The sequence below is a fragment of the Homo sapiens genome, chromosome 11 (genome assembly GCF_000001405.40).
Source record: "Homo sapiens chromosome 11, GRCh38.p14 Primary Assembly".
NCBI lineage: Eukaryota > Metazoa > Chordata > Mammalia > Primates > Hominidae > Homo > Homo sapiens.
In genome coordinates, this window is record NC_000011.10 from 20,607,741 (window position 1) to 20,626,179 (window position 18,439).

Below are 18,439 nucleotides of genomic sequence, written 5' to 3' on the forward strand. Positions count from 1 at the left end.
GGACCTATACTAGGTTCTGGGAACACAGAGATTACATCAAACTATCAAATATACTTAATTCTAACATAAAACTTAAGGAGCTCCTGGCCCAGAGGAAAGCTTAATCAAATTTTTGTTTGCTTATGAATAGCTGAAATCTTTGTTAAAAATGCAGGTTCACAGGCCCACAAGATAGTCTGATTTATAGATTTGGTTGGGTTCAGAAAATTTGCATTTTAACAAGTCGTTGTAGAATTTTATTTTGTTTTATAGTGTTTCTTAGACTAGCAGCATTACCTGGATGGTGGTTAGAAGCCCCGCCCTAGCCTTTCTGAATAGATTTGCATTTTAAGTAGGTTCCCAGGTGACTTATCTGCATGGTACAATTTGAAAAGTGATGGTCTAATTCCTAGAGTCCAGGAGAGCGATCCTGGGGCCAGACTTCACAAGATACTGCTCAGTGCATGAGGTGAATATGAGAGTGGACCCTTAGACCACTCTGATAAAAATGTAGTGTCTAGAAGAGGGCAAGATACTGGGGAGTCAGGGAGTGTTCCTGGAAGATGCTTCAGATGTGAAATAGATTGGGACTTGAGGCCTTGGCAGAAAGTGTCAGCTTCTTGGGTCAAGGGCAAGAGAGTGAATGTGAGGAGAAGTAGGGCAGCTATGTCAGAAAGTCTTTCTGGTCTATACCTCTGTCACTGACTGTATGTATGTCTGGGTCAAGTAACTCTCTCTGGATCTGTTTTCCTTCTCTAAAAAACAGAAATAAAAATGTTCTTCCTCTACCTACCTTGTGGGGATTGCTGTAAGGAGAAAAGAAATGAGGAGTGTGATACAGTTGCAGAAGCATATAACTCTACAAATAAAAGGTGCTAGTAGCAGTCACTTTGGAAGTTCTCGTCATTTTAAAGGGAACCTAGAAACAAGTAGTTTCTTCTTTCCCCAGTAGATCTGTTAATTCTCCTCAGCTAGGTCTGTGCTGAGACCAGCTTCCTGTGATCTCTGTATGATCGGCTCTTAGTGCTGCCCTCCAAAACCAGCTTTTTTCATGATGGAACTAGGACACTATTTAACCCTTCAAGTATATTAAGGGCAAAAATATGAATTCTTCCCTCTCGCAGACCCAGAGAGATGACATTTTTTTCTGCATTTTCTGCCATGAACATGTGTTTATAGTCTCTCTCTCTGTCTGTCTGTCTGTCTCTCTCTCTCTCTCTCTCTCTCTCTCTCTCTCTCTGTGTGTGTGTGTGTGTGTGTGTGTGTGTGTGTTTAAAGCAGGCTGAGCATGTTGACTGGATCAGGCACATGGGTGGAGGCACAAGAGACACAGAAGCCCCTGTCTCTGGCTTCCAGTCTGGCTCACCATCGCCTGGGAGACATGAAAGGCAGAGCAAAGATATGACACAGCTCAGCTCCTACTCATCTGGTACAAACCATTAAAATGATGCAAGCTCTGAGCACAAGGAGACAATGTACATTTTTCACGCTGATTGTTTCCTGCGAGTATATGACCAGGCTGAGCAGATCCTATCTCATTCTTACCCAGTGTTTTAATTTTTAATTTTTTTTTTTTTGGTGAAAAGAAAAACAAGGTGTCAATCCACACTCTTTCTTTGTGCAGCCCCTCCATCTGTCATTCTCTGTGTTATCAGCACATGAGTGTGTTCTGTTCCTGGCGCCAGGCTATCCCTTGCAGGTGTATTGGTCCTTTGGAATTCTGGGGTGACTTAGAAAAGTTGATGGTGGCCTGACTTGCAGAGCCCCACTGCTCTGCTGGACAAATCAGGAGTCTAGACAACGGATATTGCCAGGCTGTTTCCCAAATGGTCATATTGAGCAAGCCTTCCTTAAGAGATGGATAAACTCTTTCCCCAGCATTTCCCACCAATTGCCTTCCAGTCTCACCTTCTCTCTCACAATCCCATAACTACCCACATCCTGTGACTGCTGGGCAAAAGGACTCATCCCAGGAGAGAGGGGCTGAATGGCTAGCTATTGTGACCTTCGTGTGCAGCTTGGAGCTGCCCCATGACACTCTCAGTGCTGCAAGGGACACATTCCATGGGGATACCAGGCAACCATACCCACTCCAGCCCCAGAGGAAAGCCCTGGATCTGTGGGTGGGGAGAGGCAGCGTTTGCCACATCTTTCTGTGCTGCAGGTTGTAAGAGAGGCTGCTGTCTTTAGGGTGACTCAACTCTCCAAGTATCTGTAATGGAGAATGACTAGTCTGTGCCCTGTCAAGTGAGACCAGCGGCTTTACGTGAAAATAGGAGCTAGCTGGGTCACGTAAAATAGGAACAACATAAATATCATTTCTATTTCCGGAATGGCTTCATTTTCATTACAACTTTTAATTAAATGATTCCTTTTCTCCCTGGTCTTTCATGTGCTTTCATTTATTAATAATTGCCCAAGTAAAGAGAATCCCATTCCACAGCTTCCAATTTAGCACGATCATTATCGCTGTTCTTTGTTCGGGGTTGCTGGGCCGCAGAGCTCTCTGATGAGATGGCCCATCATTCCCTCGCGGGTGGACCCGAAGGCTCCGGGCGCTGGGAAGCATGCTCCTGCCGCCCGGTGGTGGGAGGGGATATTGCAGGAGGCTTGGGGCTGCGGAGCGAGCGAGCGGGGAGCCTGGGAACCCTGCTGCATTGCTGCAGGAACGGTGACCTTGTGCTGCTGCGGCGGCAGTGATCTACAGACATCCAGAGACGCTCTCTAGTGAGGCTGCCTGCGTGCTTCACAATTGCAACTTGGGAATCGAGAGATTTGGTGTTTGCCCTCGTGTTAGTGATCTCTCCCGTCTTGGGTGGACGTAATGTTTGGCAGGAGGGCTAGAAATAACTTATGTGCTTATTTACAGAACAGAGATATGGAGTGTTCTTTAATTGTCTTCATTTATGTCACTGCTGGGGGAAACAAAAGCTTTCCTGGTAAATATTTGATAATGATTAGGTGGGAATCCTCCTGAAACTCTGTTATTTGATTAAAGAAGATACTTTGAATAGGAAGATATTTTTAGGCCCTGAAGTGGAGATTCTCAACCAGGGGAGATTTTGCAGGGGACATTTGGCAACGTTCAGAGACGTTTTTAGTTGTTGCAGCTGGGTGGGCTCCTGGCATTTAGTAGGTGGAGGCCAGGGATTCTGCTAAATATCCTGCAATGCACAGGACGGTCCCACAGCCAAGAATTACTAAAGCTGTCCTTGCAGGGTTAACAAGAATTCTAGACAGAAGTATTGTTATAATCAGCATTAATCAGGCTGTGCTTTTGACTCACTTCCTTGAAACCAAAAATTGAGTAACACTACGTACATTTGCATCCCCATTGTTCCTATAGATGAGATTTCTGATGCTAGAATCATAAGGCTTTTGTTTAAGAATTGCTTAAGCAGATCCCGAATTCCAGCAAAACAGCTGATGCCAACCAGTTTAAAGACTCCTACCAGCTTTAAGCAGGGGCTCATGCCTGTAATCCCAGCACCTTGGGAAGCCAAGGTGGATGGATCACTTGAGGCCAGGAGTTGGAGACCATCCTGGGCAACACGGCAAAACCCTGTCTCTACTAAAAATACAAGAATTAGCTGGAAGTGTTGGCACACACCTGTAATCCCAGCTACTTTGGAGGCTGAGACATGAGAATCACTTGAACCCTGGAGGTAGAGGTTGCAGTGAGCAGAGATTGTGCCACTGCACCCTAGCCTGGGTGACACAGTGAGACTGTCTCAAAAAACAAAAAACAAACAAATGAAAAAAGGTTCCCACAGAGGAACTGAATCAGTGTGAGAATGCTTTTCTTCATCTCTCTGTCCCAGGACTTCACCCTGCACTCTTCAACCTACTCCAAAACCCTAGCTCCAAACTCTTTGGGGAGATGGATTTGAGGTTTCCTCCTATCTCCTTGTTCAGTGGCTCTTATGATTAAACCTCTTTCTCTGCTGCAACGCAGGAAACTCTATTTGCTTCCTGCGAGTAAATGACCAGGCTGAGCAGATCCTATCTCATTCTTACCCAGTGGTTTATTTGTTTATTTATTTTGGTGAAAAAAAAAAAAAAACAAGGTGTCAATCCCCACTCTTTCTTTGTGCAGCCCCTCCATCTGTCATTCTCTGTGTTATCAGCACATGAGCGTGTTCTGTTCCTGGGCCCAGGCTGTCCCTTGCAGGGGTATTGGTCCTTTGGAATTCTGGGGTGACTTAAAAAAGGTCCTCTTCTCTTAATTAAACCTCTTTCTCTGCTGCAACGCAGGGTCTTGGTGAAGTATTGACTCACTGTGCCTGTTGGGCAATGGACCTATTGCGGTTACTTTATCTGACCCCAAATGCCATTAGTACAGCTATTGAGAAACCTTGGTCTAAAGAACTACTGAAAGGGAAGGGATTCTTATTATTGTTTCCATTTTTACCCAACATTCTAAGAAACTCTGCGGTGTGTATGGGAAGTGGTAGGCAATTTATGGCAGGCAAGTGGCCTTACGGGAGATGATGCTGAAGACTAGAGATACTCTCTCCAGAAAAAGCTATAACAATGATGATTGAGTTATGGCTAAAATTTATTGAGTGCCAGCTGTGTGCCAGGCATTGTGGGAAGATTTTTAATTTGTGATCTCTCTTCATTTAGTCCTTACTGCAACCCTGAACAACTATGACCAGAAAATGGAGGCTTGGACAAATGGAACTCATTCAAGCTCTCGGGAGTAGTGGAACGCCTGAACTCACATTCTTGCCCTCTATGCTCTTCCACAGAGAACATAAAATGGGAGTCCATGCACCAGATCAAGCCTGCTTCTTAAAATTATTTATTTATTTTAGAGAAAGGGTCTCATTCTGTTGCCCGGGCTGGAGTGCAGTGGTGCAATCACAGCTCACTGCAACCTTGAACTCCTGGGCTTAAGCAATCCTCCTCCCTCAGCCTCCTGAGTAGTTAGGACTATAGATGTGCAGTACTGCACCTGGCTAATTTTTAAAATGTTTGGTACAGATAGGGGTCTTGTTATGTTGCCTAGGCTGGTCTTGAAGTCTTGGGCTCAAGCCATCCTCCTGCCTTGGCTTCCCAAACTGTTGGGATTATAGGTGTGAGCCACCCTGCCCAGCCACTTTTTGTTATTGTTGCTCCTGGTATTTAAAGACAATTTTAACACATTCAATATTTTTAAATGGAGATATTTCATGTAAGTTTATAGATTTTCTGCATCTTTTGCCACAACATCTGGAAAAGCTTGGCACTGATTGGCTGGAGTGCTCTCTGGTTGGCCACAGTCCCCACCTCTCTCTATTATTTTCTAATTTTATGCCTTCCTCATTTGTGTCATCATCCTGGCTTCTGTAGGTGTTTGAATTTATAATCCCTGCTCCCTATTCACATTGGATTGCCTAAGTCATTGATTCCAAAGAGAGAGCTTGTTTACATCCTGTCTTGATGTATGACCTTGGCTAGCCACTGCATCCCTCTGTGCCCCAGTTTTCCTTATCTGTAACATAGAGATAATAACAGTACCTTCTCATAGGGGGTGGTGTGAGGCTTAAATTAGTCAATGCATGTAAAGTACTTAAAACAGTGCCATAAACGTGGTAACTGCCATATAAGTGTAAGTTGTTGTTGTTATTGTTACTATGTGCTCCTTTGCAAAATAACGTCCTTTGGGATTAGTCCTGGTGGATTCTTTATTTAAGGTATTTGTCAGTTTATCTGTATTTTAAAGAGAGGCATTGTAAAATGGTCAGAAAGACTTCAGATTCTTCCTATTTAAAATGACAATAATAATATATACCTCCTGGGTTTTATGAGGATTTCATGAGATAATCATTAAAGTGTTCAACACAGAGCCTGACATACTAAGACTCACAGGGTTAATTTCCTTTCTCCATCCCTGCCTAGATCAGGCCTTCTCAACCTTGGTACCACCGATGTTTTGGACTAAATAATTCTTTTTTTTTTTTTTTTTTTTTTAAGAGACAGGGTCTTGCTTCATCACCCAGGCTGGGAATGCAGTGGCATGATCATGTCTCACTGCAGCCTTGCATTTCTGGGCTCAAGCAATCCTCCTGCCTCAGCCTCCCAAGTATTTAGGACTACAGGTGTGTGCCATCATGCCTGGCTAAGGGACTGAACAATTCTTTGTTGTGGGGGGCTGTCCTGTGCATTGTAGGATATTTAGTATTAGCATCCCTGGCCTCTACTTATTAGACACCAGTAAGCACCAGGTCCCCAAGGTATGACAACTAAAAATGCCTCCAGACTTGCCACATGTTTCCTGGAGAGAAGACTCATCCCCAGTTGAGCACCACACTGTCAGGTCCTGTCACAGGATCCCCGGTAGACGGCGTGGTTGCTGCCTCTGCTTACCCACGTGAGAGTAGAAAGTACACAGCACGTGTATCCTAGAGTACTTACTAAATGTGGTGCCAGGCAGTGGGTCCAAGGTGAACTTCTTAGAAAGCCTTCTGTAGCAGTACCCTTCAGGGGGTCTGCTTATTTTCTAATTCAATTCGTTTCAGCAATTTATTTATTTTCTGCAGAGTCATAAGGATCTGAGTTCGAATCCTGATTCTCTTCCTCATAAGCTGTGTGGCTTCAGTAGAGTTACCTACCTCTTTAAGCCTGCTTCCTTATTTTGAAAATGGAAGATTATAGTACCTCCTGCATAGGCTGTTGTGAGGATTAAATGAGATAATGCATGCAAAATACTTGCCTACCACATAGAGAGTGTTCTGTAAATGCCTTTGTCATCAGTACAAGGTGCAGTTGTGGGGACTGGGGGCTCTGATGGAGAAAACATAATTCTTTGGTTCTTTTCTTAATATATCTGGCTTTGCCCAGTTAATCCTTTCCTGAAGGTACTCTCCAATATTTGCAAATGTTTTTGGCATTTGTTTTTAAACTGCTGCAGAGAGACAAATCTCTGTTTTCTGTACAGATTTAACTGTGTTTCTATTCTGTCCTCTCCTAAACAGATTCCTGTGTTATCAGTGACCATCCCAAAATACAGATCAAGAACTCGACTTTCTGCATGACCGCTTATCCCAACGTGACAATGGTTAATTTCACCAGCCAGGCCAATAAGACATTTGTCAGTGGAAGTGAAGAGTACTTCAAGTAAGATGACTTTCTTTTTCCTTTTTTACCTTCTAAGAGAAACACAGTGAATTAATAAATATTCAATTTGCAGACCAGAGGTGTGGGTAGCCCAAGGGATGAGATCAGAGAGGAAGGTTTTTTCCCTGGTTTGGCTTCCAAGAGCAGATTGTTGTGTCTTGTGAGCCTGGAAAGCAGAGCTGGATGAATGACAGCAGTAGGAGCAGAATCATTGCGGCTATAATTCATGATGCTGATGAAAAGCCCATTTCAAAACCTTGATCCAGTGTGATCTAAGTGGACTGTCAGTTAACCAGATTATTTTTTCTTCCATCTGCACTTGGCTTCAGGGAAGAGAGACAAAAAGAAAAGAAGTCATGTTCAGAGCTTTAGTGTAAATAAGAACAAATTCATTTTTTTTCCTTTTTTTATAGCTTTGCCTTAGTTTTGTATTTTTTAATATCAGTATTGCTAGGCATTGGAGATTGAGGTTCAGGGATACTTGAAGATCCTCAGCTACCATTGGAAGATTTAGTGAAGTTCATAAAATTATTTTTTTCTTTTCTTTCTTTCCTTTTTTTTCTTTTGAGATGGAGTCTCGCTCTGTTGCCCAGGCTGGAGTGCAGTGGCGCGATCTCGGCTCACTGAAACCTCTGCCTCTGGGTTCAAGTTATTCTCCTGCCTCAGCCTCCCGAGGAGCTGGGACTACAGGCGCGTGCCACCATGCTCGGCTAATTTTTTGTACTTTTAGTAGAGACGGGGTTTCACCGTGTTAGCCAGGATGGCCTCGATATCCTGACCTTGTGATCTGCTTGCCACGGCCTCCCAAAGTGCTGGGATTACAGGCGTGAGCCACTGCACCCAGCCATGAAATTATGTCTTAAGGGAGATAAATGTAGACAGAGTTCATCATAGGGTACGTAAAGAGTGTTCTCTAGCTAAACTTTAATTCAGGGGTTGTAAATTCAAATGTACTCGGGCATGGCAGGAATATAAATGAGTAAAGTGAAAATAAATGAGATGATAGGGAGGGGGTGGGGACTGTAGCAAACCAAAGAGGCTGCCTGTCGCATGTAAGGAAAGCCACTGGTGCCCAGCTCCTCTGATCACTGCCTTGTGAAAATGTGGGGCAGTGATGCCAGAGCTTCTATTTTACAATAAAAGATGGAAATAAAGTCTGGATTTTTATGTGATCTCTCCTATTTTAAATGGCAGCAAAATAATTCAAATAGAACATGGGGATCAAATAAAATGCATAAATCAATGAGCCTCCAGTTTGTGGCTTTCACTTAGATGACGACAAATGATTGCTAATACCATGACTCTTCTCCCAGTTGTCATTATTTCCTACTCCTGGTTTTCTTTCCTGTAGACTCAGGGTGTACATAGTTGTTCCCTGCAGAACAGAAGGGAGAGTTACCTAATTGATTAAATAGTCCCCTTTGACCATAACTACCATGGGGGTATTAGGGTGGGTCTTTAATTCTCCCTGAGCACTGAGCAACTGAGTCTGACCTGGTAGTATGATGAAATCTGAAAGACCGCCAAAAGCAGGTTTGCAAATCATTTTCCAGTACACTTAATCCATGCAGTCAGGTGTACTAAAAAGTGATTTGCAAACCTGCTTTTGATGGCCTTTACTAATCCTCTGGGGCCAGTCTTGATTTCTAAGAAGAAATGTCATCAGGAGTTTCTTGGGACTTGTTTGAGGTCCTACAATTGAAGCATGGAGCAGTTGAGATGGCTAAGTCATGGAATTGTTGACTATATGGTTTACCTATTTTGGGCATGGGACATGGGGAAGGTCCTTTTCCTTGCTTGGCAAATATGGTCCTCAGGGTTTTGCCGTGGAACCAAGTTTAGTTCCAGCCTTGGTCTTCCCTAGTCAACTCTGAGCCCAGGTTGTGCCAGGGTTTGGGCCTGAAAGAGGCTCTGTCTGCACAGGGTTGGCCATCACTGTTATGAAAAGCATGTCTGTGTGTTGCCAAACAGCCTCTCAAGCTAGCCAGCTGGACCAGGAGTGGGGCTGCTGCCTACATTTCCTTCAGCAGGTCAGAATTCTCTGGGCCATCATTCCTACAGTCCTACAGAGCCTGGATGCTGGCTTGCCTTTCCTTTAGATCACAGAAAAACGTCAACCTACAAACACAGCAGTTTTACAGAGGATGTATGGCTAGATGGTTGCGGAGTAGAAAGAATTGTCTGAGTCTGTTATCAGGCACTGTCCCTGAAGCTGCCTCCTTTCCTCAGGGGTGGGGCTGCCCTGCTAGCCATTTGGCCAGGCAGGCCACGATGTCTTCATTATCTAAATGAGTTGCCAGCAGCAGCTACAGCTGACCAGTGGCCTCTTCTGTTGGCAGCTGCTCATCTGTCTTAGAATGTTTTGCTTGAGCAAGGTCTAGGCAGCCCTGCTTTTATAATTAAGCCAACCTCCGCCTCAGGACATACCCACACAACTTGAACTACAATCCAGGGCCACATTTTTCGTCATTTAGCATATGCAGTTTCCACTATGTACTAATTTTTAAAATTAAAATCACACAAATACTACCAGAATAAATTCTCATAAAAGAGTAGAGCAATACAGAAAACACACAAAAATCACCCTTGACGGTTCAGAGTTTCTGTTGCACTTCTCCTGGGGATGTGCTAGTGACAATGGAACTGACAGCCTTGTCCTGAAGCCTGCCCAGGGCCATGAGCAGCCTCCCAGCACGTAATCAAGAGCACAGTAAATCCAGCTGGAGTCTTTGCAGATGGCTGTGGGCAAGAGCCCAGACCAGCAAATTCCCCACAGCCTGATGTGATTAGGTTCCTGATGGTGGGGTGGGTGGAGGATGCTGGGGTTTTGTGCAAGCCTCCTGGCTCTACTGGAGGCTTAAAGCCTACTGCCTGTCACCTCCCTCTCTCCTTCTTTCTATCACTCCCCCCATCCCTCCCTCCAACTCTCAGGTACTTTGTGCTGAAGATTTCTGCAGGGATTGAATATCCTGGCGAGATCAGGTGGCCACTAGCTCTCTGCCTCTTCCTGGCTTGGGTCATTGTGTATGCATCATTGGCTAAAGGAATCAAGACTTCAGGAAAAGTAAGCACTTGGATTTATCTAAGAGAAAGCTGTGAGACACCCAGGGGCGGTTGCTTTGGGGAGCAGGCAGAGCACTGGAAAGAGAGTCAGGAGCTGTGGATGCTAATTCTGACTCTGCCCTGGAGCAGCTGAGGGGCTGTGACTTCACTTTCATCTGCAAAATGGGGATAATAACACCTTTCTTGCAGGGCTGTTTTAAGGGTTAAATGAGACACATATATACAGAGCTCTCAAGGGATGGTGGGGGGTACTCTGATTAGGATTTCCTTCCTTTCCTCTCAGGGGCTGCCACTCATTCAGCAGAAGGAACCTCCCTGATATCATTCAGTCACTTTCCCTAAACTCTAGAATTTGTGCTGCTGGCTTTTTGCCTCTTGGTCTGGCTGCCAAGTTAGCTATTGCTTCTGCCAAGAAGCTGGCTGAAGATCAAAACTGTGTAGTAGATTCCCTCTCCTCACTCCCGGCCACCATGTTCATGGCCTTCCTTGCCTTTCTTTCAACTCTAAGCTTGACACTCTTCTACCCCATGTGCCCCTAGCACTAAAGGAAGATGGTCCTGCCCATGGAATTTTGGCTGAGCAATTACTTGGTAAGGGTCAGTTAGTGATCGCATGGCTGGGCCCTTTGGAGATGGTGAAACTCCCACCCAAGCTCAGTTCCAAGCCACAGAAAGAGAGGAGCCCATCGAACCTCAGGCCACAGTGGGCATTGTTGTAGGGGTCACAGTAACATTTCTTCATCTCCTTGCAGCCTTAGAAAAACCTACTGAAGGTTGGGTGCAGTGGCTCAGGCCTGTAATCCCAGCACTTTGGGAGGCTGAGGCGGGTGGATCATTTGAAGCCTGGAGTTCGAGACCACCCTGGCCAACATGGTGAAACCCCGTCTCTATGAAAAATACAAAAATTAGCTGGGCATGGTGGGGGGCACCTGTAGTCCCTGCTACTTGGGAGGCTGAGGCAGGAGAATCACTTGAACCCGGGAGGCGGAGATTGCGGTGAGCTAAGATGGCATCACTGCACTTCAGAGTGACAGGGTGACAGAGTGAGATCCTGTCCCGCCCGACACACACACACACACACACACACACACACACACAAAGAAAAACCTACTGAAGAGTTAACCAGTTATTCTGATCACATGCAATAATATTTAATTACGCCAGGAGGTATTTGCATGTTTTAGGATGAAACAAAAATGTCTTTAAGGCTCAAGGAATGAGGATGTAATGGGGGATTCTGAGACCATAGGTTGTGGAGTTGAGATTTGGTTTGATTATCCAGGCCAAGGATTTCTGCGATTATGTTACAATCAACCAACTTCTGAAAGGTTGGGTCTCATCGGGAGGGTAGTCAGTGCCATCTTTCACCCCCAGGCATGCTTTGCATCCCCCATTAGGCACGCAATCCCAGCATCTATTAGCCACATAGACCGAACTGTCTTCTCCCTGGGGACATGGACATTTTTGATTACAGCTTTTATTAGTGCTTGCTTTTCATGTCATGTAGTTCCACAGGGACTTGAGTGGTGGATTCTGGCAGGTTTGTCAGGGTTACCTGAGGCAGGTGGTATGCCTTAAATCACAGAGTGTGGGGAGAATCAGGTCAGCTAGAGAGAACCAGCCCAGGAGTGAGGAGACCTGAGCCCTTGTCCTTGGGGACTTCTCATGGTGTTTGCTGTGTAGGGATATCTCTACTTGGGTGGTGAAACATGGCTGAGCTTCTGATTTTGCTCTTAGCTTTAATTGCTTTTTTTTTGGCCAATAAATGAAAAGCACATTTTCCTAGCTATTTTAGAAGTCCTCAGTTTCCTCATTTCTAAGGTGAGGGTAATTGGACTGGGTGATGTCTAAGGTCCTCTAATTCTAAGATTATTCTGTTGGAACACTTGCTGGGTGAGCTGGAGGTTTGGGAGCACTTCTACTCTGTGACCTCAGTTTCCCCTTCTGTAAAAAGAGAACTGGGATTCAGTGACCCCTGAGGAACCTGCTGGCTCTGAGTGAGTACCATGAGACTGGATTGATTGTTTTTCTAAGGTTACAGGGAGATGGGAAATGTTAACTTGACCCTTATGACAATACCGAGCATGGCCTGAGGTTTCCTGGACCCCTCACCTTCTGTGGCTTGGAGCTGAGCTTGGGTGGGAGTTTCATCATCTCCAAAGGGCCCAGCCAAGCAATTGCTCAACAAGACTAGCCAAGTATATACTCAATCAAAATCCCATGGGCAAGACTGTCACTTATGGCTAGAAATGGAGACAAGCTGACCTCAACCATGATGTGAGTGGCCAGACAGGTGCCTAGTAGTATAGGCTGGAAGGTGAGACTGCAGGAGGAGAGGTGATAGGTGAGGAGGGTGAGAACAGCACCTTTTAATGATGTGAGGAAGGATGGCCTGTGGCTCCAGAGTCAGACCAATCTTAGTTCAAATCCTGGCTCTATCACTTTCTAGTTGTGTGACTCTGGACAAGCTATTTAACCTTTGAAACCCATTTCCTCATCTGTAAATAGGGGATAATAGTGCATAATACTTAGGATTGCTGTAAGGATGAAGTGAGACATGCATGCTACTACCTGGTGTATGGTCAGTTATTAACATTATCTCCTTTCATGTTCATTATTCTGAATGGCTGCTGTATTGACTGGGTATTGTGCCACTTTGACATCTCCACAGCAGTGGCTTTGTTGGGAGATTGGAAGAGAAAGAGAGCTTTGTTGAACACTGTGTGCCAGGCACTGTGCTGGCTGCTTCACATGCATTAGAAGCACATTGATTCCCATTTTGTAGAGAGAGAGACTGAGGCTTGTCAAGGTAGAGTAAATTGCCTGAAGTCACAGAGCTTTTAAGTGGAAGTAGTGGGATTTGAACCCAGGTCTATCTGGCTTTGAAGCCTAGACTTTTTTATTTTTATTTATATTTATTTTTTATTTTTTTATTGAGATGGAGTCTCGCTTTGTCACCCAGGCTGGAGTGCAGTGGTGCCATCTTGGCTCACTGCAACCTCCACCTCCTGGGTTCAAGTGATTGTCCTGCCTCAGACTCCTGAGTAGCTGGGATTACAGGAGCCCACCACCACGCCCAGCTAATTTTTTTTGTATTTTTAGTAGAGACAGGATTTCACCGTGTTGGCCAGGCTAGTCTTGACCTCTTGATCTCAGGTGATCCCCCTACCTTAGCCTCCCAAGGTGCTAGGATTACAGGTGTGAGTTATCGTGCCCAGCTGGCCTAGACTTTTTCTAATACAAGACATTCTCTCCCAAGAAGGAGTTATTAAGAATAGATAGTAAATGAGGAATTGTGGAGTCATCATTTTCATATAGTGGGGGAAAAAATCCCCCCACAGTAAATCAGAATCTGCATTTCTACCCAGTCTCTGCTGTCTTGCTGTGTGACTTTGGGCAAGTCACAGGATATATTACAGCCTCATTGTCTTCATTTGCAAAATCAAGAGTTAGAATATTCTCTAGGATTCTTTTTATCTTATTAGTCTGTGCTCTTTTGGAATGGCATTGCAGCCAGTTCTTTCCACTGATTTAGAATCTAATTCTTGGTGATAGATTTTATAGGCTTTCTGGAATAGGAAGTTTTGAGCAGATATGTTTTTCATTTAGATCTGCCAACTTATCTCTCTGCTTCATTGAGAAAAGTTTCCAACCAGAGATCAATGATCAATTTTTATTTTAAATGAAGAATACTACCAGAAATAATGAATCACAATTTACTATCCTGCCCTGGGCTGTGCAGACATTAATCATGGAGCATTATTTGGGAGCCAAGGTGGATGCGCAGCTGAAGGTGCTTTATGATGAACTCCTTTGTGATTGAAATCCCAGGAACACTGTCATTTTTATGCAAAAGAGATGTCGTCTTCCTGCAGCCAGATAAGCTCAGTTCCTCTTGTTTAGGGCCTCAGGAGACAGGACTGGCAGGTTGCTTCCTCTGAGACAGGTCTTCCTATTTCACTGTTGGAGGCTGTTTTCCAGCAGCTAGAATTCCAGAGGCACGGGCGACCAGCAGGCAGCCTGAAGGTCAAATGCAGCCCACCTGCCCTCAGGGGCGCCTCTGCCTGAGAGTTGTGGCAACCAAGCAAAGCTAACCTAATTAGCTCGTACAGGCTGTTGGGCCTTTACCACCTGTTCAGGGGTCCCATGGTGAGAAGGATGCCTGGAGGTGTCAGGCCAACAGGCTCAGATGGGCGAGTCAGTGTCACTCCTGCCAAGTGTAATTCATTACTGTTCAAGTTTAACTCCTCTGACAATACAATGTGGAAACAGGTGCATTCTGAATCTCCCCTGACACAGGGGAACTAGCTGTGCAGAAACCTCCAATGCACACCTGTCTCACATTTGAGGCATTCCCAGGATTTATAAACCAAACTGTTGGCCCTCTCAGTTCACCATGATCACCACCTAAAAAATGAATGCATCACCTGGGTGAGGTGAGCCAGTGCCTAGTGTGCAAAATTGAGAGGCGCTCACTCTCAGGTTCCTGAAGTGCAGGGCCGGCACCTGACAGTGAATGCCTCTGTAAATTTTGCACCCTAGATGCCTCCTGTCTCACTTGCCTCCCCCTAGTCCTGGCCCTGCCATACACATTTCTCATCATGTGGCCCATAGAATGGCATTCATGGAAAGAGTGGCTTTGGAGTGGGGAAGCTTTGGGCTTAAGTCTTGTCTCAAGACCTTGAACGAGATATTTAAACCCTTGTGAGATGCTTAACCTGAACCTCAGTTAACTTCTCTGCAAAATGGGACAAATATACCTGGCCACAGAGGGAACTCAGGAGTGATGGTGTCTAAACAGCCTCCAACAGTGAAATGGGAACAGCTGTCTCTTAAACTCATGCCAGCCTTGGAGATTTCCTTCTATAAGCCACCGCTGTCTAGGTCATGTCCTCTCCGTCACCTCTTCCATCCTCATTTCCCACCAGCCCCAGGTGGTCAGAGGATGGAAAGGATACTCCTTAGTTGTCTCCCATCCCATCCCCGTGCTGTTTTGGGGGCAGGAAAGTCAGGCTGGTCAGGGCCTGCCCTTGTAGTATCTCATCTTCCCAGCCCCACCTGACAGCTGTGAGGCCAGCCCTGAGACGTCAGATGCCCTTGGATTTCCTAACATCCACGTGTGGAAGGGCTTCACTTCTCCTTAGACTTCAAGGGGATGGAAGGAGAGAAGCAGGTTTGGAAGAAATAGAGAGGAGCTGGCTGCTGCTCCTCCCTTCCATTCCTAGCACTGCAAGTTCTTTGAGACAAGGAGGGAGGAGAGACTGCTGTTCTGTGGTGCAGGAAAAATGTGTCCTGGTCAGCAGTGTCACAGTGGAGAGAAAAGGAGTGCAGTCCACCTCTGGCAGGTCTGAACCTGCAGCCAGGAAGAAAGAGTTCGGCCTTGAGTAATTGAGTTTAGAGACAGAAGTAACTTCCCCATTTCAGTTCATGGCAACTCCACCCTTTCAGTTGCTGAGGCCAAAACACTTGGGAGTCACCTTGACTCTTCTCTTTCTCTCACACTCCCCATGAAGTCTGGTGGCTCCTCCTGAAAATGTATCTGGCATGTGTTTCTCACCAGCTCCAGCGACAACACCCTGGCTGGAGCCATCCCCATTCTTTGTCCTTTGCCTGCTGGCTGCTGTGGCCTCCTTACTGTTAACCCTGCAGTATTCTTGCTACATAGCAACTGGGTGATTCTGTGCAAACGTTAGATCCTGTTACCCCTCTTCCTGAGTCCCTGCCGTAGCCCTGTTGCCCACAGAGTGAGAGCTCTGCCTGGCCCCACCTAGTCTGCCCCTCCCTACTCCCACCTTGCCGATCTCTCCCACCTGTGCCCCCTCTCTTGCCACACTGGCCTCTTTGCTGTTCCTAGGAGCCAGGCACACTCCCTTCTTAGGGCCATGATTCCAACTGTTCCCTCCATCTGAAATGTTCTCCCAGACATCCAGTTGGCTCACCCTGACTTTCTTCCTTGACCAACTTCTCCCTGAAGCCTTCCCAACCATCCTCCCCACACCCCACCCCACTTACCCAGCTCTAATTTTTCATTTTTTCAATCCACATATCACCTTCTAATATGCCACAAATAATACTTATCACGATTATTGTTGGTTGACTCTCTCCCCAGCTAGAATGGAAGCTATTCAGGGCAGAAATCTTTGCTTTATTTACTGATAGGTCCTGAATGCTTAACTGGCTGGCACATATTAGTTGCTCTAAATATATATATAAGTATGTATATTCATTTGAACAGGTGGAATGACCCCAAGGGTTTTATATATATATATTATATATATATATTTTTTTTGAGACAGAGTCTCACTCTGTCACTCAGGCTGGAGTGCAGTGGTGTGATATTGGCTCACTGTAGCCTCTGCCTCCTGAGTTCAAGCAATTCACCTGCTTCAGCCTCCTGAGTAGCTGGGACTACAGGCATGCACCACCATGCCCGGTTAATTTTTGTATTTTTGTGGAGATGGGGTTTCACTATGTTGCCCAGGCTGGTCTCGATCTCCTGACCTCAAGTGATCCGCCTGCCTCAGCCTCCCAAAGTGCTGGATTACAGGTGTGAGCCAACGCTCCCGGCCCCCAAGAGTTATTTCTTCATCTCAGCTCTAAACTTTCCCAATTCATCTCCCCCTGTGAGTCCTTGAATCCGTCCTCATCTCCTGAAATCCCACTCACTACCATGCTGGAGCCCCCTACCAGGTACTCGAGTCTGTGCAGACAGCGTGCGGCAGGTGCCCTGTGTCCCTCTCATGGGGGCAGGTATTCCAGTTGCCCTCAGAGGAAGGACTGCATGTGGAAATGGAGGTGGCCCTGAACCAATAGCCGTCACCCCATGGATCCCGAGAGCCCAGAGTGGGCCTGGATGGGAGCTTAACCTCAGCCTCTCAAGTGTCTTTTAATGCACTTTTAATGTAGCCTACCTGTGAGTCGAGCGCTGTCAGTGTGATTAAGTTGAGGACTGGGGAGTCCTAGGCCAGACTGTGAAATGGTACTTCTGTTTCCAGTGCCCTGGGCCTGTTCCACTTTGTGTGGATTGTAAGTGACACTGTACTCTTCCAATAGCCCCATGAAGAATCTACTATTGTTGCCACTTTGCAGGTGTGGACACTGAGGGTCAGAGACTCAGAGAGGTTAAGTTGCTGCCTCAGTGAGTGCTGGAGTCAGGATTTGGTGACACAGTTCGTAAGTGCTGGAGTCAGAATTTGGACCCAGGCTCGTGGGACTGCAGAGCCTGAGCTCTCACACTGCTCCTTCTGCTTCTGCCAAATCCTGGTCCCAAGCCCTACCTTCACCTTGAGGTTTGATGGACAGGTACGGAAGGAAAGGTCCTCCTACCTACCATGTTCAACTAACCCCCAAGTTCTGCTAATGTTACCTCCCAAATGTTTCTTTCTTTCTTTCTTTTGAGATGGAGTTTTGCTCTTGTCACCCAGTCTGGAGTGCAATGGCGTGATCTCTGCTCACTGCAACCTCCGCCTCCTGGGTTCAAGTGATTTTCCTGCCTAAGCCTCCTGAATAGCTGGGATTATAGGAGCCTGCCACCACACCCGGCTAATTTTTGTATTTTTAGTAGAGATGGGGTTTTGCCATATTGGCCAGGCTGGTCTTGAACTCCTGACCTCAGGTGATCTGCCCGCCTTGACCTCCCAAATTGTTGGGATTACAGGCATAAGCCACCGCGCCCGGCCTCCCAAATGTTTCTTGACGCTGGTCCCTCCCTCTTTTCCAGCATCCAGCAATACCCTTTTGCTGGCATTCAAGTCTTCCCATGACGTGGTCTCCTCCAATGTCTCTAGCCCCCCACCCCCTACTCTTAGCCTCAACTTTATGCTGTGCTGATAGTGAGTGAGTAGAGCTTTGCCTCACACGCCTGCCTTGCCCATGTGCTTCCTTCACCTTCCCACCTTGCCTCTCCTCCTCTAAGCTGCACTTGTCCAGTTCAGTGTCATCTCCATGAACGTCTTAGTAGACGCCCAGGTTGGGCACAATGCCCTTCCCTGAACTTCCATAGTGCCCTCTGTGTAATTCCCTAGCTCATTATTCAGACATTGTCTTTGTGTCTTCTAGGTTAGGAGTCCCTTCATCTTTATGCAGCTGATGCCTGGCATAGTGCCCAGCTCATAGGAGGCCCTCAATAAATATTTGTTGAACTTAATGTCATTTAATGACCTGCTGTTATAAATCAGGCACCATGCTAGGTCCTATCCATGCATTAGCTCATTGAATCCTCACGATTATCTGTAAGAAAGGTGCTATTATCCTTGATTTACAGATACTGAAACTAAGATTCAGAGAGCTTAATAAAT

The 18,439-nt window shown here is 46.0% G+C and overlaps 1 protein-coding gene across 4 annotated transcripts in view, besides 4 other annotated features; it reads left to right on the forward strand.

The window, feature by feature from the left end:
• SLC6A5 (solute carrier family 6 member 5) overlaps nucleotides 1-18,439 on the forward strand; it is a 59,678-nt gene that overhangs the window by 8,133 nt on the left and 33,106 nt on the right. For all 4 annotated transcript variants that reach the window (XR_007062528.1, NM_004211.5, NM_001318369.2 and 1 more), the window contains 2 exons: nucleotides 6,939-7,080; nucleotides 10,012-10,144. Coding sequence is in view for 3 of the 4 variants with exons in the window: in NM_004211.5 (NP_004202.4) it covers nucleotides 6,939-7,080; nucleotides 10,012-10,144 (275 nt within the window). In the remaining variant the exon portion in view is untranslated. The remainder of the gene's footprint in view (nucleotides 1-6,938; nucleotides 7,081-10,011; nucleotides 10,145-18,439) is intronic.
• Nucleotides 2,494-2,691: a silencer, noted in NCBI's record as "fragment chr11:20631780-20631977 (GRCh37/hg19 assembly coordinates)". NCBI's record gives its function as "represses an EF-1alpha promoter that drives an FKBP-Casp9 reporter gene in an ReSE screen in K562 erythroleukemia cells {active_cell/tissue: K562}" and the evidence as "EXISTENCE:reporter gene assay evidence [ECO:0000049][PMID:32094911]".
• Nucleotides 2,494-2,739: a biological region, named in NCBI's record as "ReSE screen-validated silencer GRCh37_chr11:20631780-20631977".
• Nucleotides 2,670-2,739: an enhancer, noted in NCBI's record as "active region_4527". NCBI's record gives its function as "activates an Ori minimal core promoter by ATAC-STARR-seq in GM12878 lymphoblastoid cells {active_cell/tissue: GM12878}" and the evidence as "EXISTENCE:reporter gene assay evidence [ECO:0000049][PMID:35858748]".
• Nucleotides 13,725-14,226: an enhancer, noted in NCBI's record as "H3K4me1 hESC enhancer chr11:20643011-20643512 (GRCh37/hg19 assembly coordinates)". NCBI's record gives its function as "activates a minimal SCP1, AML or CMV promoter by ChIP-STARR-seq in naive H9 embryonic stem cells {active_cell/tissue: H9 hESC(naive)}" and the evidence as "EXISTENCE:reporter gene assay evidence [ECO:0000049][PMID:30033119]".